A 23,867-nucleotide genomic window follows, 5' to 3' on the forward strand; every position below is an offset into this window, starting at 1 on the left:
TACGTATATGGCACTGATTATGTGCCAAGTACTATTTTACCTGTTTTATATTAAGTCATCTAAACTTCCACATCAAGGTAAGCACATGTTTTTATCTCCATTTAACTGATAATGAAATTGAGGCAGAGGAAGGTTTAGTAATTTGTTTAAGGTCACATAGCTAATAAGTGGCAAAGCAAGGAATTTCACCCAGGTGTTCTGGCTCCAAAATCCTTGCTTCTGGCCAGTACACTATACTGTTACATTTCCTTCATCTTCCAGTTTCGTAATGTCCAAGGATATCATTATATTTTTGTTGTGTTAACCCAATGCTTTGCAAAACCATACCATGTGAGTGGTGTACATTTTCAAGCTCCCAATATCACGAAAATGTGGTGCCAGGATTGGATGTGTAGAACTCAGCATTCAGATTGAAGAAAAACAAAATCATTGACCAAAAGTGCTTATAACCAGATATACTTATAACTAATAGGTTAAGTGGAGAATAATTTCCTGAAGAGATGATATTCTCCTTCCATATAGGACTGTGGGATCTTCCTGCTAAATCCTCAGTTGCTTTGAAGAGCTGTAATTGTGAATAATCCTCTCAGATAGCCTGAGAATTCAATTTTGGCTAATGACTATATACCATTGCAATAGGTAATCTTCGATAACATAGCCATATTAAAAATTCCCTAAAAGCAAGACTCTTTCTCACTTTAAGTCTCACTGTCTATAACGCCTTAAGAAAAAATAAACACATCATTTATAGGTATATACGGATGCTGAAATGAGTTAAACAGGTTTTTCTGATTTGGTATAAAATATTCTTATCAAGAACCAATGTCAATGTGTATGAGATAGGAGTCACTATTTGAAATCATTAGCTCTTTGCTAATAGATTTGTGGCAATATTTTGGCATATTTCTTTTATTATTAAAAGAAAGCAGGTGTCTTGAAAGTATTTTAGATGTAATGTTTTTCCACTAACCTATTTAAAACTCTATCCTTCTAAGGAAATATATTTGATGGAACATTAATAAAAATCAGGTGTATGTGTTCTATTTTAATGTACGTACAAACAAAACTGGTATGTGGTATGACTTTTCTTAAAACACACACTGGTTGAGACCATGTTGAGTCTAATTATGTTGGATTGGGGGAAGACAGCTATTCAGTGAGAGAAGAATTACATAAAAGAGCAGAACTACAATTTAGTTTTCATTTTCATGATGTCTGTGTGTCTGTGTACCCTAAAACGAGAGTGTGTCTGATTAATGTGTTAGCATTGTTTGCATGGAGAAAGTCCCTGTATTTGCCCATTTTCACACTGCTCTAAAGAAATACCTGAGACTGGGTAATTTATAAAGGAAAGAGGTTTAACTGACTCACAGTTCTGCATGGCTGGTGAGGCTTCTGGAAACTTAAAATCATGGTGGAAGGGGAAGCAAACATGTCCTTCTTCACAAGGAGGCAGGAGAGAGAAGTGCAGAGTGAAGGGGGAAGAAACTCTTATAAAACCATCAAATCTCATAAGAACTCACTCACTATTACAAGAACAGCATGGGGGAACTGTGCCCATGATCCAGTCACTTCCCACAGGGTACCTCCCCCAACATGTGGGGATTACAATTTGGTTTACAATTCAAGATGTGATTTGTGTCCGGACAGAAACCTTAACCATATCGGTCCTCCAATGTTTATTTCCATGTTTCTATCACTTAGGCTCTGGGCTTAAACCAATTAAGATGACATCAATGTTACTTTCCCTAGAGGAAATGATGGCTACTGTCCATCTGGTAAATGCTGTAGCCCCACCAAAATATGACATCAGTGAGTTCCAAGTTGGGGTATGGGGCAGAAAGACATATTATTACTAGCAAAGATGCATCTCATAATTCAAGAATAAATGCTGGCGCCCAAAATCCTTGTGCCTTACTTATGCAAGTGATCAAATATGGGCTGAGTCCCTGTGTATCAACAGTGAAAAGGAAACACATGTTTCTTCCTTTCCTCATAGTGTCCTCTGTGGATGATGGAGTGCAGACCACAGACCCAAAAAGGAGAGTCTGGTCCTTGCCCTTGCATGGAATAGTGGCACATCTTAGGTGTCTCTTGCTTCAGTTGTAAAATAATCTCCATGAATACTTTAAGCTTTAACATCCCAAGGTACAGACATTGTGCCTTATGTATCTTTATCTAGGGCCAAGTACATGGAAGATGCTCAGTGTATATGTTTTGGACTTAGGAATGCAAGACACGTGTAAGTCTAGGAAGAGTCCTAAAAGTTCTTAGAAATTAACCAGCTAATTAATTATTATTAATTAATATATATTAATATATAAATATATAATAATACTAATTAATAATAATTAATCTGACTCAGCCATTCTCTCCGTTTCCCAAAGAGCATCTACCAGGGAAATGTTTATCTGCTCCAAGGTCTAGTTCACCACAGGCAAGTGACAGATAGTTTAACTTCCCTATTATGCAAACATTAATAAAGACACTTAGGTGTGTTTATTTTTACTAGAAGGAAGGTGTGTGTGTGTATATATGTGTGTTATAACTGTTAATATATCCTTGCATAGCCAAACTTATGGAATGTTTAGATCTACAGTGTCTAGTTTAGTAGCCACTAGCCACATGTGGCTATTGAGCTCTTGAAATGTGTCTGATCCAAATGTAAATGTACTTAAAATTTAATATACACACTGGATTTCAAAGACTGAAGCATAAACAAAATAACATAAAAGATCTCATTAATAATTGTTATACTGACTATATGTGGAAATGATAATATATTAGGTATATTGGCTTGAATAAAATATATTATTAAAATTATTTTCACCTGTTTTTACTTTTTTTTTTTTACATGGCTATTAGAAAGCTGAAAATTCTATTTGTGGTTCTTATTCTGTTTTATTGGACAGCGCAGCTCTAGACAGAAGCAAAATTGGGTATAGCATGCATGAGATAGTTTGAGTCCTGGGGAAGATCTTTGAGCCTCACATCATCTCTTGGGCAACAGTGCAATTCGGTTTGCCTGGGGCAGTCCTGGTTAGTGCCCGTTGTTCTGGCATAATTATTAATAATGTCTTCACAAACTGTCAGAGGTGTCCATGTATGGATGATAAATTACGTGGCACCCTGCATATAGCCCTACGCTCACTTTTATTGTTCGCTCACTGATAAGAGAAGCAGCCTTTCAAGGAAACCTTGGGAACATAACAACCACAACTCTAACACTGGTACCCTGCAGAGGAGGTTCTGTGTGGCAAGGACCTGGGACTGGAGCTACGGACACTGAGACTTCACATTCTTTTCCATCTCTTGGATTTTGTACTTGGCGCTTCCTTCACAACTCCAGCTACACCATTCTTGATTCCTATGATTTGATAAGTGATGGTGAATTCGGGGAGTGTGTGATAATGTAGCCATGTGTCAACTAATATGAAAAATAATTGCTTAAAAAGCCATGTTCAATTGCATTTCAGTCCAATATCCACAGGAAGAAAAAACAATCAAAATTTCCATCTCTTCAAGAGTGTTCACGTATAAGTAATTCACAGATGGCAGAGCCCCAGGTGGGTTATGTTCAGTCATTCCCAAGAAATGAAACTTACTTATAACCCACAGCATAAGAAGCTGTAAGGATGAATATTTGACACATTTGATTATGTTGAAATACTGCCTTTAAAACACAGTTGATGACTGTTATTTTTAGTTGCACTTCATTAGGCTTACTGTAGAGGGAAGAGTTTTCATTGATGCCCAGAGATGTGTGTTTTTCAAAAGTTGCAAAAGTTACACTTGTTTTCTAGCTGATTAAATTTATTACAAATTGGTTATTTAAGATGTACACTCTCAGACATGCTGGAGTTTTAAAAAGGGCTTAAATTAGAAAAATCAGATTCTCTGAAAGCTTCAAATTCTATGTATATTGAGAAGCCACTAAATCTGGTATTTGTTATTTAACACCAGACACACAGCAAAGAAATTTGTTTCCTTTGTTCCTCTTTTGGTCAACATACCTAATTATCAGAATAGTACAATCATTAATGTGCAAATAGTAATAACTGTTTATCTTTCAAGACAGTATAGCAAATCCAACTCTATTGACTGCTTTTGAATTCAGAAAGAGAATCCTAGAAACAGGATATTTTGGTGAGAGTCTGCTTGTGGGACTTCTTACCTTCCTTTTCTTGATTGTAACCTGGTGTTCTTGGCTTAAGGGCATGCCATAAAACAAGGTTCTTGAAACTGATGTTCTCAAACTTGCAATGGAACAGAACTCTAAAACAGATGTGATTTTTTTCTTAATATCCGGTTAACTAGCAAGGTTGTTTTGTGTTTTAATGACTGTTTATGGTTTTTAATTTAACCCTTAAGGCAAATTGATCCTGCAGGGCGAGAAAATTAAAAACTGGATTCCTGAAAATTATAATACTGTGGTTGTTCTCAGAGAGTGAATGGCATTATTTGTTCTAAAACCATTACTTGTCTTACATCACCAAAATACTTGACCTATCTTTTCAAAGTCCATGTGTATTTTATATATATATGTATATATATATATATATATATATATATATATAAAATTAAAAAAATAAGCTGGCAGATTTGGGGGTTGTTAAATTAGAAGTTCATGGATAGATTTCAGGGGGGTCTGTTAACTCTCTGAAGTTTTATGCCTTAGCCAGGGGATGGGGGTGTGTTTCATGAAAGAGATTCTATTACTTCAGATTTTAAAAGAATAACAAAAAATCAACCACTGTTTGGGGGTTAGATTAAATAATGTAGGGAAGCCACTAATTCTCACAGTGAGCAGAATGAGAGAAGTTAAGAAGTAGAGAATTATCACTTCCTCCCTGCAAATATGTATTAAATAATGAAGGTTAGTTCATCATATTATCACCTGTTTACATGACACATAATATGTAAGTTCAAGATTTTAAGAGGAATAGAAGTTTTTGCATTTTTTCATTGAGAGGCTAAAAATAACTCTTTAGTCAGTATCAACACAATTATTAGCAACTCTAAGATTGGGGGTAAAGGACACAGACCGGTGGAGGGAAAACACCCTGAGGGGAAGTGTTTCCAGTTGTCCTGTGTGTTCTACTGAGACAAGAAGGGAAAATACAGTGTTCTTTGGGGCTTTTGGTATGTTATCAGTGAGGATAGTGGCAGGTGGCTGCTAGTGAGAGTGCATTTTTACAGTGAGTGGCTGCATTCTCTTTAAGTCTTGCTAAGATAATATGATGACGTGTTGATTTGAGGAATTTCCCCTCATATGTCACACATTTTCCCATGTTTGTCACATATATTGAAATTATTGTCAGTATTGCCCCTGTATTAAACTTCCTCAGACCCATGAAAGAAATCACCGAGATATTACAGAGAAATTCAAATAGCTTGATTTCAGGGTTAAAATAATTGATCGCCACTGTGATGTTAGAGGACTTTTGGTTGCAGGTTGCTGACTATCAAAATCCAACATAAGGCAGGGTACAGTGGCTCATGCCTGTAATCCCAGCACTTTGGGAGACTGAGGCAGGTGGATCACCTGAGGTTAGGAGTTCGAGACCAGCTGGCCAACATGGTGAGACCCCGTCTCTACTAAAAATACAAAAAAAATTATCCAGGCTTGGTGGTGTGTGCCTGTAATCCCAAGCACTTGAGAGGCTGAGGCAGGACAATCGCTTGAACCTGGGAGGCAGAGGTTCCAGTGAGCCAAGATCGTGTCACTGCCCTCCAGCCTGGGCAGCAACAGTGAAAACTCCATCTCAAAAAAAAAAAAAAAATTCCAACATATAACTTACCAAACATTCTGAGTGACCAAATCATATTTTTCTGTAGAATCAAATATCTGTAGAAACACTGGAACAAAATAAATGTTGTGGGTACTGATGTGTATTAGAAGGATGGCTCTATCCATTGTTTTCCAAAGAGGAGAGATGGATGCTGAAGAGCAAAACAGGGGGAGAAATAGCATGTAATATACTACTGCATTATTTAGAGATACTGAAACTATAAAAGGTTTTTATTTTTTTTCCCCACCCTGACACAGTGATTTAATAATAGTTCTGGTGTTTGTAACTCCAGCTGTTCACGCTGTGTGCTGATAAGACCAGAGCTTGAAGACACATTGCAACGATGGCTTTCATATGGCTTTGTTTTTAAGAGATAAAGCTGCCATCCGATATTTCATGGGGCCAAATGTTTACTTCATTTGGCAAGTTTAGGCAGCTTAATTTTTAAATCAGTTATGCTTGCAAGACTCAAGTTTCAGGTAGGAAAAAACCTGAAGCCCAGTTTACTCTGCAGCAGAGTTTTTCACCATATCTCAGCAGAAGATGTTAAAACAAATCTGGATTGCCTGAATGTCTGTACCATGACTAATCAAGGAAACTAAGAAGTGAGATCCCTATTTAGGTGTGTGCTCCCCGATTTTTCTTCTTGGGTCTTAGTCTAACACTGAAAAACTCTAAAAGAAGGATCACTATTTAGGTCAATTTCAGAAATTAACAAGGTAACCATGACATGTCTTTTATATATATATATATATATATATATATATATATTTTTTTTTTTTTTTTTTTTTAATTATACTCTAAGTTTTAGGGTATATGTGCACAACGTGCAGGTTTGTTACATATGTATACATGTGCCATGTTGGTTTGCTGCACCCATTCACTCGTCATTTACATTAGGTATATCTCCTAATGCTATCCCTTTCCCTTCCCCGCACCCCACAACAGGCCCCGGTGTGTGGTGTTCCCCTTTGCTGTTTAGCCTTGATCTGCACACAATGAAAACTGAATGGGTTTTGTTTTCATGTCAAAATAAATTGACTAATCCCTTAGATGCCCAAGATTTCTGCTGTGTGCTTTCTAGAAAGCCTAAGACATGGTTCCTGTCCTCAAGAAACTTACAACCTCGTTACAGAGAACACATCTAAAGCAGTTAAACAGCCCTAGCAGTCTGCAAGCATGTATCAGATTATCAAATAATACGGTTTTAACCATCAAAATGAGTGGTTTTTTTTCCCTTTAGCCTGCACTTTGGTACTCTACTTAGCCTTCCTAACCCCTGAAGGGAATTGCCATGTGCAGTATCTCTATTAGCTGTTATCTCTCTGAAATATAATGTTTACATGACTGCATTTTTTCAAGACTGTGAACTCTTCAGAGGCACAGGCCAGTGTATTCGTTTTTGTATTCAAGCCCCCAGGCACAGTGCCTGGCACTTAAGACGTTATCACAAATATATGACTAGATGATAAAAATCATAAAATCTAGAATCATAAAGTTAGTAATCTTTGAGTTATAACTTTGTAATTTTCTAATAACTGTTCAAAACATTTAGAAAGGTCTTGATTAGAAGTTTCTGGATAATTTCTTATATCCATTACATCTAAAGATTTCTCCTTCTAAATTTTCCTCCTAGTCCATCTCCCTTAAGAAATTTTTCTAATTTCAGTTGATTTGGAAGAAAATAAAAATACTTCTGGTATGTGAATTAATTAAAAAGAAAGAACATTTACGACGTGTTTCTTGGCAAAGCACTGATAAACATCTCAATCTCACTTTCACAATATGGGCAGATGTAATTTGACAGTGTTGTTTGAAATTTTGTAAAGATGATGTTTAAAGTAGTTTTATTTTAAAGACCAAGATCCTGTGTGTGATTGCATCAATAACTCTGTGACCCTAAGAAAATTAGTTAAATAGTGGGTGATTTCCTCAGAAATTCTATGTAATGGAAGGGAAATAATAAATAGAGAAACTGTATGAACTCTAGTTGTTCTTAGGGACTTATCCATCCAAACTAGTGACTTCAAGATTCCAGATGTGAATTATTAAGTTGGTTGGTATGAGTTCAACTTTAGATTTCATTTTAATGTCTCAGTGTTCATAACCAGTCATGCAGTGAGGTTATCTTTCCATCCAAAACACCAATAATCATTTTTTATTGGTCAAATGAATAATATCAAGAAATATTTTTTAAATGCCACACACACAAAGGCAGCAGCGTAAATGCCTACATATGCGTATGTGTGTACCCTTACCCTCTTTGGAGGGAAAGCTACTACCTAAATTTGAAGGCTAAAGTACATATAGTCATGTTATCGTAAAGTGAAAGTTAAGGGTATGGGTTGTGTCTTCCATAGGTTCTGAACTTCTGTATGTACCTTCCAAATTGTGGACATTTAGTAAAGACTGATGACATAGGAGGAAAGGGTTAATGAGAGTTCACCTTGAGAAGAAGCAAGACAATTGGCCTTGGGAGGAGAAGGAAAATTATTTCTTTGAGCATGGTGTGATTCATAGAACTCTCTTACGATAGGGGACGTTTTTTTTTTTATCACAGCATAAACGCTTCTAAAGTACAAGTTTCAATTTGGTTTCTGCTTTCAAAATCTTGTCATACAATGACATTGTACAGACGTTTAAAAGAGTTTTATTTCTTAGGAGAGTGGCCCCTTTCCTAATAGCTCTGTACTTTAAAATAGAATTCCCATTTAGATGAATCACATTTTAAAAAGTAGCTACTGTGAGTGTTTTACGCTTGTGGAAACATATAGCATCCTCATAAGCAGCATGAGAGCCTGTCACCATACAGCTTTTGATGTCTGATTAAATGATCGTAGGGACATCTGGAGGGAGTTAGTTTTGAAGTAACTGGTGTGAAGCACTGGAGAATCCGAAGCCTTCTGACAGACTAAAACCATTAAAAAAAAAAAAATTGCTACTTTTAGCAAATCTTTTTTAACTTGAAACTGGCTGGAAATTTTCAGACTCACATAGCCCTGATATTTCTCAACAGATTTTTCAGACAGAACTCTCTACGTTTTAAGCAAAGAATGGTTAAGTAGCATTTGTTGCAAAAATCATAAAGGAATATCCTTTGAAAGGAAAAAGTAGATACTGAAAGCAACAGAAGTCAAAATTGATTTACTTAAAGAAATTGTCTCCTTTTTATCTGCCTTTAATTTTAATCAGTGTATTTTAATTTTTAAAGGACACAAACACACACACACACACATACACACACACACATATATATATATATATATATTTGACATTCAGCTATATTCTTATGAAGACCCAAAGGCATCAAAGCGATTGATATTGATATAAGGTTATGGCATGTTTTGAGCACCTGTCAAAAGTTTCTAAATGTCTTGAGTCAAAATTTTATTTGCATAGTCTCATAAAATACAGGCATTGTTTATTTAAAGGTTGTATAATTTGTAATTTGTCCACCGAGGTTCTCCTAGTATGAGGTGATTTCTTATTGTTTCATGAATAAAATTATGATATACCTACATATATGAATATATTTACAAATCCTGACCTTATGTATGTATATGTGTTATATACATATACATGTGTTATACGTATATGTTATATGTATGTTATATACATATACATATATACATGTATGTATTCGTATATGTATGTTATATATGTATATGTGTTATATACATATACATATATACATGTATATGTGTTATATACATATACATATATACATGTATATGTGTTATATACATATACATATATACATGTATATGTGTTATATACATATACATATATACATGTATATGTGTTATATACATGTGTATGTGTATATGTATATATACATATATGTGTATGTGCATGTGTATATATACATATATGTATATGTGTATATGTATATATACATATATGTATATGTGTATGTGTATACGTATATATACATATATGTGTATGTGTATGTGTATACGTATATATATACATATATGTGTATGTGTATACGTACATATACATATATGTGTATGTGTATACGTACATATACATATATGTGTATGTGTATACGTATATATACATATATGTGTATGTGTATATATGTATGTGTGTATATATACACACACGTGTGTGTGTGTTTGTGTGTATGTTTATATACATCTCCTGCCTTGAAACCCTTGATCATTCTCCACTGCATTCAGGATGTTTTAAAATTTCTTGGTATGGCTTTTTAAAAAAAAGACTTTTTTCTCTTTTTTAAATTGTGGTAAAATATATATATTTACTGTCTTAACAATTTTAAGTGTATAGTTCCATGGTATAAGTACATTCACATTGTTCTGCATCCATCACTACCACCTCTCTCCAGAACTCTTCACCTTCCAACACTGAAACTCTATACTCTTAAACAGTAACTCCTTATTCCCTCCTTTTCCTTGGCAACCACCATTCTGTTATACTTTTTCTCCCTATGATTTTGACTACTCTAGGTGCCTTATACAAGTAGAATCATGCAGTATTTGTCCTTTTTTAATTGTATTTGTCCTTTTTTGACTGGCTTATTTTACTGAGCATAATATTCTTAAGCATCATCCATGTTGTAGCATATGTCAGAATTTCCTTCCTTGTTAAGGTTGAAAATACTCTGTTGTATTTGTATACAAATATACCACATTTTGCTTATCTACTCATCTCTTGATGGACACTTGAGTTGCTTCCACATTTTACCTAATATGAAAAATGCTACTGTGGATACGGGTGTAAAATATCTCTTCCAGACTCTGCTTTCATTTCTTTCCGGGAGATGTCCAGAAGTAGAATTATTGGATCATAGGGTTTATTCTAATTTTCATTTTTTGAGGAACCACCAAATTCTTTTCCACAGAGGTGTGTCATTTTACATTCCCACCAACATTGCACAAGAGTTCCAGTTTCTCCACATCCTTGCCAACACTTGTTGGTTTCTGTTTTGTTTTTAGTAATCATCCTAATGACTGTGAGGTGATATTTCATTGTAGTTTCGATTTGCATTTCCCTAATGCTTAGTGATACTGGGCATCTTTTTAAGTACTTATTGGCCATTCATGTATCTTCTTTGGGAAACTGTCTTTTCAAGTCCTTTACTGATTTTTGAATTGTGTTCTTCATTTATTTGTTGCTGAGTTCTAGGAGTTTTCTATATATGCTGGATATTAACTCCTTATCAGATATATGATTTGAAAATATTTTTCTCTTTCTTTACATTGCCCCTTCACTCTATTGTGTCCTTTGTGCAGACATTTTTAATTTTCATGAAGTTCAATTTTTCTTTTTTTTTTTTAACTGTGCTTTTTGTATCACATCCAAGAAATCATTACCAAATTCCACATTATGAAGATTTTGCCTTATGTTTTCTTCTAAGAGTTTTATAGTTTTGGCTCTTAGGTTTAGGTCTTCGATTTATTTTGAGTTAATTTTTGTACACGGTATTAGATAAGGGTCCAACTTCAGTCATTTGCCTGTGAATATCCAGTTTCCCCAGCATCATTTGTTAAAAAGGTTATTCTTTCCCCCATTGAATGGTCTTGGCACCACTGTTGAAACTCATCTGAACATACCTTAGAGGGTTTATTTCTCAGTCCTTGATGTGGCTTTTAAAAACTTAATCACAACCTATATGCTTAGCTTTATCTCTAGTCACACTGCATGAAGGACCCTATGTATGAGAGTTATAATTTTTCACATGTGCAAAGAAAGCTTCTGTCTGTGGGTCTTTGCCCAGATGTTTCTTCTGCTGGAAGAATGACAAATATCATTTGTCTCCCTTTCTGCTAATGAATGTACAGGTACCCTTCAAAACTTAGTGTAATGGCCTCTTTCTTTACTGATCCTTATCCACACCCTTTCTGCTCTGGACAGAATTTACCACTTCCCACTGATGGCATGCTGGAATACCTCTAGCATAATTTGTTCCACCCCATGTTATAGTTTTCTGCATATGTCTCCTTTATGAATCTAGAAACTTGTAGGTGGCTTGAATTTCCTTCCACATTAGAACACGGCATCATGCCCAACAGCAGCATTTATATATTGTTTAAGGAATGGGGGAATTTTCTAATCACGATTGCTCATTTCAACCATGAAGCAATTTAATTTCAGCTTTAATAGCGTTAATTTACATTCTACTTCTGCTAGCGAGTAGCCACGTAATACTACCCAGCACACCTTGGAGGAGGGCTACTTTTCTCTTTCAATTCCAAGTTCATGTCAGTCGTGGACACTTAATTATTAATATATGTGTTCAAATATATTATTTCATCCCATGAACATCTGCAAGTTCAGCTTTATTGCCTCCATTTTACAGACGACGAAGTTCAGGCTCAAACGAGTTAACTTATTTGCCTTAGATCACAGAACTAACAAGTAGCAGTGCTAGGATTCAGATTTATCTTAACCTGCAGTATAGACTCTTCATTCTACCCCTCAAATCAAATGTTAGCCTTGAGAGTAGCATTTGTCCACATTATGCTGCCATTGCTTTGGGCAATCTTCCTTTGAAACTGCCTCAAAGCCAGTTTATCAGCCCCTCCTCCTAAAAAAAGTCATTTCATCATTTTATAGTCACTATTTTTCCTTCAAAAATGGTGGCGTTCTATTTGATGCCAAAATCTATATTGTACAGTTAGTCTCAGACTGTTTACACAATTTAGATACCTCTGTGAAGGAGAAAATTTTTCCACCACAAAGGAATTTAATGCAGGCATTTAAGACATTCATATTCATAGAAGAATGCATTCAGATGGGCTGAAAGCAGCAGAGTTTTAGAACAATTTTTTGTTTATTCAGTTGCCTAGTGATTAAGACATGTAGGTTTTGTCCCTGACTCATCCATTGACTCTTTGTCAGGTTAAGCAAGTGTAATTTAGTTCTGTGTCTGGAAAAGGAAGATTGTCTTCTATATTGGCCACGGTGGAATTGCAAGGTTAATGCCTTCTATCTTGAGTACAGCATTTAGCAGACTGTGGGTGCTTAATATATGTTAATAATAGTGATAATAATGAATGTTGATAATTAAAGGTCTTTTATAATTACTAAATTTTCTATGTGTGTTAAATATAATTAAAGGGAAATGATTTAAATTAATATGCATACATATAAAAACTAGAGCTAGCCACAGCTTTTATTTTTAGCTTCTCAACTAACGTCATGAATGTGAATCTTATATTAAGAAATTCAATTATGATGGCAGTTTCACTAGGGTCATGTATAGAGAACCCATGCATGGTTCTACTCTGGAAACTAGAAAGGCAATTTGAGTTGAAAAACATGGGCATGAATGGGAAGCTTCAAGGGACTTTAGTGGTTGGAGCTTGACCAAATGAAGTTGTGCATCGGATATCGTTATTATGAAGTATCTCCATAATACTCCCTTTGAGTTCTACTGGGAGTCAGAGGTACCTTACTGGAAGCTGGGCACCATCCCAGAAATACAGATAATAAACAAGACTGCCTGGAGGGTCTATAGAAGATATAGGTAGAATAAAGGAAACAGTAATCATAAATAATAACCCAGGAAATTCAGCTTGGAGATTCATTCTTTGAACTCAAATGCTCAGGGTTACTAAAGGTTATTATTTCTTAAGGTTCTGGCATGGCAGTGGAAGTGTGAACCATGAGATGTGGAAGGCTAGAGTGGTTAAGAACATGGACTGTAAACATGACTGCTTGGTTCAAAGCTAGCTTGACCACTGACTGATTTGCTGGTCAATTTCTGTCAAGTGTTTGTTTTCCTTCTTTTGGTCTCACTTTTCTCACCTATAAAGTAATGATAATAAAAGTACTTACCTCACAGGATTGTCTTGAGAAATTGATGAGTGATTATTTGTAAAAATTCTTAGAACACATGGTAAGCACTATGTGTGTGTGTTAAATACATACGTATGTTGGATTTGTGCCATGCATGGTTGGATAGAAGGTGTAGGATAAGATAGACTATAGAAGTAAGTTGGAGAGTAATCTGCATTAAAAGCTGAATTTGATCATCTTTAGCTTTAATTTACAGAAGGCACTTAGCACACAGCTAGCAAAAAATATTGATTCCAAAGTCGAGCATTAAATGCATACTGAGTGTCTTTTGCTTATAGAGACCCTTGCAAGTTCTTTTAATTTCAAAAAAAAAAAAAAAATTCCTCCAAAGGCAAGTTCTTAAGGCAATATTGGAACTACATCAATGAACCCAGCCCTGGCTTTCTTCTCTTGATATGAAATGTTGTCTTCCTTATAATTATTTTGTTTAAGTTGAAAACCTAGAAGGAAACAGGAAAGGACGGATTATTAAGCAACAAGCCAGTTTCAAATGGTTCAAACCTGTCATCCATCTCCTGAGGTTTTCTGGAAGCCCCCTTCCCTTGTACGCTTCTCTAATTTGCTAGTCCTGCTGCCTTTATCTTGACTCACCTTCCTCACTTGTTTACAGGGTGGATATCTTCTCATTCATTAAGACAAGGTTAAAATACCACCTCCTTTTTCTATCCCTTTTCTGAAACTCTACTTCCAAGCAGAAGTGTAGTATTTTTTTATGTAAATATTTTATGTAATATTTTTAAAGCAATGTATGATAATACGTTCGTTGAGGTCGTAATGAAAGTATGTTATTGGAGAAATTAGTGTTTAATATAGGACCAAAATAACAGAGGTCAGACATGAGTCACAGAGAGCACAGTGTGGATGCCCTCAGATCACACACTTGTTCCTGGACTGAGGCATGCCCTGCTGTGCCCACAGAGCTACCTGTTCCCTCCTCAGTTCCTGCTCCCCGCTCCCACCCAAACCCAGAAAGAGTGATTTATAATTCTGTCACAAACAGTAGGACCACTCTTATTTGCATTTGTGTGTCTCTTTCCTTCCCTTCCTTCCCTTGGAGTGGAAGTGCACTGAGGATGGAGAATGTATTGTTTTTTATCTTTGCAGGCCAGCAGTAGCATGTGGTAGGTATTTAATAACTGATGATTGAATAAATGAAAGAATGCATAAAAGAAGTAATGGATAAGCAAATGAAAAGAAAAAAAGAATAAATTAGCAGAGAGAAATTAAGAAAAGAATAAAATGTTTTTAAAGGTAATGTACAGTATATTTTTGTATCTTTTGCAGTGCTCAGTTTTTAAAAATAAACAAATGTATTTTAATTTATTCAGCATGAAATTTATTTATATCTTATATCTATGTCTGTATAAGAAAATAAAACAGAGCAGATACAGGTCTCTGAGAGTATTATGACATTTCTGCATTTTTAATGTACTTCAAACTCCATCCTTCCAAGTCAGCTTCTTTCATTTTAAATATAGTTGCAGTGGGGGTGAGGGAGGGGGTTTGCTTGGAAATTATTGTATTATTAATTAATCTATTATATATATTCAACTTTAGTCTCTGGTCAGTGTTTTCTTAGCAATTTGCAAATATGCAATTATCTCTGTATATTTGGGATAGTAGTTACAGAAACTACCAAAGTAACCGTTTAAAGCTAAAATTTGGAATTTTATCACTGCAAACATTTATCTTTGTGTTGGGGACATCATAATCCTTGTAGCTATTTTGAAGTATATAATGTATTAACCCTAATTTGATCATTATACGTTGTATGAATGTATCAAAGTATCACATGCACCCTCAAAACATGTACAACTATGATGTACTAATAAAAAATATAAAAAAATAAAATTTTATATTTTAAAAAATAAAGTCAAAATTTGAGTTTTCCTGGATTTCTAAATTTGTTTGATAAATTAATGAACTAGAAATTAGTCTTTGCAAGGACCAAAGGATGCAGGTAGAAAAATGCTTAGGAGTTTGTTATGATTCAGGTCACAGGAGGCAACCACCCAAATTACCAGCATGATTCCTTTATCCGTGTAACTCAGCAGTTGATTCAGTAATAATTATAAAACACCCACAACTACACTTATTTTGTGCTAGTTATTTTTCTAAGTGCTTTAAATATATTATTTCATCGAATCCTCTTAACACCCCCATGAGGTGGTCCCATTGATATTTCTGTTGATAAGGAAATGAGGTACATAGAGGTTAAGTAAATGTCAAATTGTTTAGTTGTAAAGCAAATAAATGGCAGAAATATTTAGGAAATAAAATGTACATATCTTGGATAAGGGAATAGAACATATAAGAGATGTCAAGAATAATTCCCACTTTTCATGTTTGGGTAGTAAAGCATGTAGGTATTCTACCAACTGACATACAGAACATAGGATCTGTTTGTAGGCAAAGATACAAGTAGAGATGCTTGGAAATAAAAAAAAACGCATATCCAAACTTTGAAGTCATTGGTGATTTCAGAATAAGACCAGTTTCTATAAAGGGAAGTGAGGTAAAAACTGTTCTGCTATTAGTTGGAAAAGATACTGGAGGCAACGCATTGGGAACAGCCCTGTGGAACTTATAATCGCATTGAGGAGAACATGCACAGGTTAAATTTTATAAGCTAATAACAATTTAAGAACTAATTCCAAGTGGCAAAATACAATTTAAAATGGTTCAGTGGAAAAACAAGGGACTTTTTTATTTTTTTATTTTTTTGAAGAATGGCACATGTAATTCATGAGAGTGTTGAACATCTACATCTTGGGAAGTGAGAGATGCAGCTGTGCTTCAGGAAAAAGTGGAATCTGAGATCCAAGCAATTGCTTCTGCTTCACTCTTTCATAGATTTCATCATGTTTACCTGTTTACCTGCCCACTGTCTTCCTCCACATTGGGGAGACATGCGTGGCTGCTAAGAACTCTGCTTTTCCCATCTGCAGAGAGGAACTAATTCCTTCCTAAGCTTTAGGGAAAAAAAGTCTGATTGGCCCAGAATGGCCACTTTACCCAAGCTATGGCACTTTAAATCAACCATGGCAATGGGGGTGTGGGGAATGTTCTGCAGACATTTGATGTATGATGCCAGTGGGAGAAGAGCAGTTTTCACCATGTGGAAGACTGCGCAGACATTCCCATAAGTGTATACCCAGAGTCAAGGCCAGGTATGAATAATCAGTATTGGCAGTGAGTGCCGTAAGTTCAGGGAAGAACTCAGTGTCATGTGGTCAAGGGAGCTTCAAGGAAAAAGATGGCTTGATGTGGACTTTAAAGAAAGGGTAGACATTTGATAAGCATAAAAAAGTCAGTGTGCAAATTCACAGCAACAAAGATGTGTAAGTCATGTTGGGTAGAGGAAGACCTTTCTGGGCAGAGTTAAATTTGAAAGCACTGTTTCTCAAAGAGTTATCAAAAGACCCCTTCCCTCAGAAACACCAAATGGGGTTGCAGAAATGCTAATTTGAGGGCTCCAACTCAGTCTGTTGAATAAAAATCTTTGGGAACAAGGTCTGGGAATCTGCATCTTAGACAAATATCCTTTAGCTATTGCAGTCTCCAGTGTAATAACAGCATGGAGTGAATAGAGGTTATAAAGAAAGGCTGGACCTGGCCTCAATAGGGCAAGCTGCTTAGGCACAGGAAGATGAGGTCAGCTATTTCCACATTGGTGCTTAGAGGGAAGAAACCCTTAGAAGCACCATCTTTATGAATTTATTCAAAGATGCCACAGATAGAGTGAGAAGATTACAATATATCTGACAAATTAATAAACACTGGAGTTGTGAAAAACAACTGTAGAATTTTGCATGAAATTGTGAAGTTGTAAAAACAGAAACAAAGTGAGACATTCTGTTGACGACAACAGTAGTGATAAAACACACACAAAAAAAGCTTTTTGTTTCCATAGAATAATTTCACATGGCCATAAAGATATCCTGACCCAATATATAATTTAAACCCTAAATACGTATTTTTTATTTCATTCTGTGCTATGGTTTGGTTCTAGTTTGTTTGTTACCATCAAAAGTCATGTTGAAATTTGGTCCCCAGTGTAGCCGTGTTGGGAAGTGGGGCCTAGTGGGAGGTGTTTGAATCATGGGGGTGGATTCCTCAAGAGTGGCTTGGTGCTGTTCTGGTGGTAGTAACTGAGTTCTCTCTCTGGTGAGAATAGATTAGTTCCTGCAAGAATGGATTAGTTCCCAAGAGAGTGGGTAGTTATAAAGCCAGGATGCCCAATGGATTTTCTCTCTCTTTGCATTTTTTGCTTCTGCTTTAACCTTCCCTGCCATGTTGTGATGCAGCACAGAAGCCCTTGCCAGAAGCCAGGCCATGCCCATGAACTTTGCAGCCTGCAGAACCACATGCTAAATAAATATTTTAATAAATTACCCAATCTCAGATACTCCATTATAGGAACACAAAATGGACTAAGACGGCCCCCATTTATTCATACTTATTATTATCAGCCTCATTGAACAGGTAGACAAAACAACCACAAAAACAACAAAACCTTACCATCTCCATAGGTAAGGGAATTTTGTCTCATATAGGACACAGAAGGAATAATTTAGGACACAGACTCTCTCGGGTCTGGGAAAGTTAATGTATCTCATGTAACTAACTGACATTCACCAAACGTAAGAACAGATAAAGTTTCCCCCGACAGACCCTGTGCATATTTTCTGCTCTCAATTTGGCTGAGGTACTAATCTTAATCTGATTGTGTTGAACAGAACAACCCACCCTTTTAGCATTTCTTTGTCTGGCAGGAGTCCTGACATTTGGTCGCATGGTTAACATCAAACACGAAGAGAAATTCCTTCTGGTAATACAGTTAAGATAGGTGCCTTTTTCCTGAAAGTTAGCAATATTCTCACTCTCATGGAAGGCTGTACTGATGGAGGAACCAATGAAGCAGAAAACTCTAAACCACAGATAATTCTTGTTATTTCTACCTGAGTTGAAAATACAATGTGTTCATTAGCAGCAAGTGTATACTGTAGTCTGACAACTGGGAGACCTGCCTTCTGGTGTAAGCTTAGAGACTGAATTGTGTGGTCTTGGAGAAGTTACTTAACTTACCAGGGACAGTTTCTTCATCTGTAAAATGAGAAAGGTGGTATAGTTAAAATGGGAGCTCTTGTGTAGAAACTGATAGGAATATAAACTGGTGTAACACATTTGGAAATCAGTGATCTTAATTCTCAATCTGTGAATTTGTAATGAGGAAACATGTTTTTTCTGCTTTTTTTCATTTTGACGGTTTTTCTTCTAATTCTAAATCATCTAAATAACTGATGACTTAAATCATCATTTAAATCATCAAGTTATTTAAATCATCATCTAAGTAACTTTTATTTTCAGTTTTTCCTCATGTCTTTCAAGTGTCCAAAAATACCCTGGATGAGTTGAAACTGACTTGGAGTCAGCTTCCCCTGAATCCCATGCAGTGCGTGAGGGGAAGGGAGGTTGTGCACCTGAACAAAACTGGGGGATCTAATGGAAAGGGAAGTAAGATGAAATTATCTCAGTAGAAACTAACACTCTATTTTTTGGTCACCAAATATTTCTTTGCATCTTGCATCCACTTTTACTAGGCTTTTTTTTTTTTTTTTTTTTTTTTTTTTTGGTTTATAGGCATTGGAAATATTTTCCCCAGTCCATAATTGGTTTTTGTTTTTCAGAGAAAGGGTCTCACTCTGTCACTCAGACTGGAGTGCAATGCTGCAATCCTAGCTCACTGTAAGAAACTCAAATTCCTGGGTCCAAGCAGTCCTGCCTCAGCTCCTCAGTAGCTAAGACTACATGAGCATGTCACCATACCTGGCTAATTAAAAAAATTTTTTTGTAGAGATAGAGGTTTCACTAGGTTGCATAGGCTGGCCTCAAACTCCTGGCCTCAAACCATCCTCCTGTCTTGGCCTTCCAAAGCTCTGGGATTTCAGGTGTGAGCCACGATACCCAGCCTATAATTGTTTCTTTAATTTTAATTTGTGTTACAGATAAATTTTAAATTTCAGTGTTTATGCTTATCAATTTTCTTTTATTATTATAGTGTATATGTTTAAAGAAAATTTCTAAAATGAATTACAATATTTTCCAATGTTTTAAGTTGGAATTTAAGCCTTTAATTTACCTATAAATTTTTTAAGTGGTATGTGTGTGGGTCTATTTTTATTTTAATATTTGGCATGAGAAATCAGTTATTTCAGTGCCATTTAAAATAATAAATTTTGTTTATGAAATGCTATTTCTGTGTTTATTTAGATGATGCTATTTTTTCTTTTATCACTGAAAGCAGCGTAATTCCATGAATACATTTTCTAATACTCAGCCTTCCTTTCATTTCTATGGCCATTTATCAAACACCTTTGGCCATGATGCATTCTGTTTTATATATTGCTGAATTCAGTTTGTAAATATTTCACTTGTGACATTATCATCCACATAACTGAGATAGTTCTGTACTTTTATTTCTTGCATTGTCCCTGTTTAGTTAAAGAATTAAGGTTCATGCTTTACATGCCCTACATAAGCCTCACAAAATGTGTAGGGAAACTTGATTGGGTTTTCTCCCATTATCTGAAGCAATTTGTGTTTAGCATTGGAATTATATTTTCTATGAACACCTGTTCAGTCTGGGACTGTGCGTATGTGTTGTTTCTCTGTTTGGGGATGGGGCAGGGTATAGGAGAAGATGACTTACTCAGATTTTCTGTTTTGTCTAGATGAATTTTTGTGTGTTGCCAATTTTTAAAATGTCCAGAAATTTATTTGTAGTATTTTCAAATGTATTGTCATAGTCTTAAGATTTCAAAGTAATCTACACTTTATGTGTAGTTATGTTCTCCACCTAACCCCAATATTGCTAATTTGTACATATTCTGTTTTTAATTTTTTTCTCTTTGGTTAATCTTAGTAGACATTTGTCTATACTATTAGTTTAAAAAATTGTTTTTAAGGAAACAGCTTTTGATTTAGTTAATACCCTCTATTCTTTCATTCTTTTCCAGTTTATTAACTTTTGCTTTTATTTCCTTTATTTTAGTTTTAAGTAGCCTAAGAATAGACAAGGAATGAAGTTATTTTTTTTTTTACCTTTTCCTAGCTTCTTGTATGCTTAACTCATTTATTTGTATTTTCTTGTTTTACATGAATGCACTGAAACATGTTTGTTTCTAATCAAAGTACAGCTACTACTATAGCTGCATCCGCTAATTTTTGATGCACAATATTTTCATTTGCCTTTCATTTCTAAATGCTTTGATTTCTGTTGACTTCCCCTTTACCGTATGAATTATTTAGTAGTATATTTTAAATTTTTTGAACATATGACTCTGTACCCATTGCTAATTTAATTGCATTGTATACAGATCAAGAGATTCATATAATGCTGATTTCTTGAAATTTGTGGTGATATTTTGTGATCTAGTGTATGATTAACTTTTGTAAACATTCAACATGTAGTTAACATGAAAACATGTCTCCTACTTTTTGCTATATTTACCTGAAGCTTGTTCATTTTGTTCTTCAAATATTCGATATACCTACCTTTTTTTTTTCTTTTACTCTATCTGCCAGTTTCTAATAGAAATGTACTAAAATTTCCTAGTGTGGCTATATATTTGTCAAATTCTGCTTTTCATTTTCTGAGGTTTTATCTTAAGTGTGCTGAGGCTGTTTTTAGTTGTCTACAGTTCTCTATCCATATTAGTAATTTTTCATTAAATCCTATTTTGCCTGATACATTTGCAACCACTTGTTTGTTTTGGTTAGATTTTTTTCTGGTGCATTTTTCTATCCTTTTATTTTAAACTTCTCAGTGTGGTTTTACCATAGGCATGTCTGTTATAAGGGGCATATAGATAGATTGTATTTAAAAATCCAGTCTGATAATCTATGTATTTAAATAGATTAGTCTAATCTATTTAAATGTATTGTAATTACTGATCTGTTTGGTTTTATTTCTGACCACCATTGAAGTGACAGGTTTTCCCCACCTTTTTTCTCTTTGTTTCAAATCTACAAATGTTACTTGTATTCTTTGCTCATTATTCATAAATTTTAGCATATATATATTTTATTTCATAACACAGAAATTTGAAGTAGATTATACTTACTGTGATACAACAAGCAGAATTGACTGATACAACTCTGTGGTCTTACCCTGGGTTGTCTGAAAAATAAGCTAGCTAGGACCAGAGCCCTCACCCTTCACCCTAAGTAGAAGAAGCCGCACTTGAACTCAGCTTCAAGGGACCAGTGGCTCCCTGGCACCAGCAGCAGGCATAGTAAATTTCCACCGTCCCAAAGATTTCCAGGTGTGAGGCAGCTGGCCTTTGTAGAGCACCTCAGTAAAGAGCTAGTATCTACACTCTACACTGCCTCATGTCAAGATTCTTGTTTAATCCCCCACTATCAAGGCTACTCTTATGCTCATCCTATGAAAAGTAAGAGTAACAGTTTGTGTGGCCTATGTCCTGTGATACCCCACCCTTGGCATGTTTAGCAGAACACCCTGGTCTCTGCTCAGCCTTCCTTGGGGTCACTAGGAACCTATACCTTCTCTTCTTCCTGTCTCCTGGCTTAAATTTCTCCAAGCCTGTTCCTTAACCCATTTGCTATGTGATTGTGAAATCATTCTCAGCCCTGTTGCTTAGTGAGTGGTCTGCAAAAGGACCCTACTTGCAAGACAGAAGCTATGACATACAACCCCTAAAACTTAAATATGTATCTAAAACAATAAGTATTTTTAATATTGTAAATATAACACTATCGTGCCCCATGAAATTAGCAGTTTTTAATATCAATACTTAATCCACATTAGAATTTCCCCAGTTCTCCAGCTGTTTTTTTAAATCAGGATTTAATCTAAGACTAAACACTGCATCTAGTTGCTATGTCTTTTACATCTCTATAATCTTTGTTCATGACATTGACTTGCAGAAAACCAACCAGTTGTCTCTGAGCAGGTCATTTTGCATGAATTTAATTGCTTCCCTGTAAAGTTGTTTGAATTGTTCCTCTTGTCCCTGTAGGTTCTGTTAGCTGAAAGTCGTACTAAAGCCTTGCTTAAATGTAAGTTAAACATTTTAGCAATACTATATCATAGGTGATATATAGCAATACTTCTTATGTATAAGATCAAAAGATACATAATAAGTTTTGTTTTGTTTTTCGCCATTAGTAACCTAAATTTGATTATTGGGTTAAGGTGGTGACAAACTCATCCATCCATTGCAAGCATCAATATGTTCTACTTGAAACAATAGGTAATCATTTGTGAACTAACTTTGTCACTACGTCCAGTTACTGTCAATATTTTTATAACTAACAATTTTATGCTGAAATACTAATTTCATTAAGTTTTGCAGTGTAACAGTTTTTAACTATTTCATTTCTTCTACATTTGCTCGCACTCTTTTATAATGTAGAGCTTTCCACAGCTTTCTATAACTGGGGCTATTTGATTACCTGGAAATAAAGTGCATACTGTTAATGTAAAAAAAAAAACCACTTAATTTGGGGTTTTAAATGGCCAGTTTTCAAAGTAAATTTGTTTCTTGGAAGTGTCAAATGATGACAGAAGATTTTTCTTTGGCTTCTTTCTTATCACTGTGGACTCAGCCTTTCATAAATACAGTGTGTGCAAATCACCCATGATCTTTCTTTCTGATGTCTCAGCTTTGCTGAGTAGAAGCTCCTTCAGACTAGCTTCTGGGTTCTTGACATGATTGTATTAATTCTTACAAGTTTCCTTCCTTTATGGAACAGCAAGATTTCCCAAGATCACTATATACCTTCATTGCCCCACACTTGCCGCCATTCTTCTCGCCAAAGATCTGTAGAGAATGGTCCTAGAAACCAAACTCCGGTCCTAGGTGTGCATCTTGTTCCTGAGAACAAATTACTTCTGTATCATGTTCTGGCCAGACTTAGGGAAAATATGTGAATATATACACTTAAAATCCAGAGTTGAAATCAATGTCTATAATTGTTTTATCACTGAGTTTAATTTCTTTGATTTTCTAATTGCTTCTCTTTCACCTTGAGAGTCTTGAGTGCTATTAACTTTAATGTAAGTATGGATTTGATTTATTCTACAATGTAAATGTTTTTAAATAACAGCACTGCTGTTAGTACAGACAACAAAAGATGTACCATCAAAGCATTAACATGTAAAGTCATTTGAAATAAGAATCTTTTCACTTTGTAGTGTATCACGTATGTGTGTGTGTATACAGA

General features: G+C 35.2%; 1 protein-coding gene across 16 annotated transcripts in view; it reads left to right on the plus strand.

Moving 5' to 3' along the window:
- PARD3B (par-3 family cell polarity regulator beta) overlaps positions 1-23,867 on the plus strand; it is a 1,074,688-nt gene that overhangs the window by 502,400 nt on the left and 548,421 nt on the right. The gene's annotated exons all lie outside the window — the stretch shown is intronic.

The sequence above is a fragment of the Homo sapiens genome, chromosome 2 (genome assembly GCF_000001405.40).
Source record: "Homo sapiens chromosome 2, GRCh38.p14 Primary Assembly".
In the NCBI taxonomy this organism is placed as follows: Eukaryota; Metazoa; Chordata; class Mammalia; order Primates; family Hominidae; genus Homo; species Homo sapiens.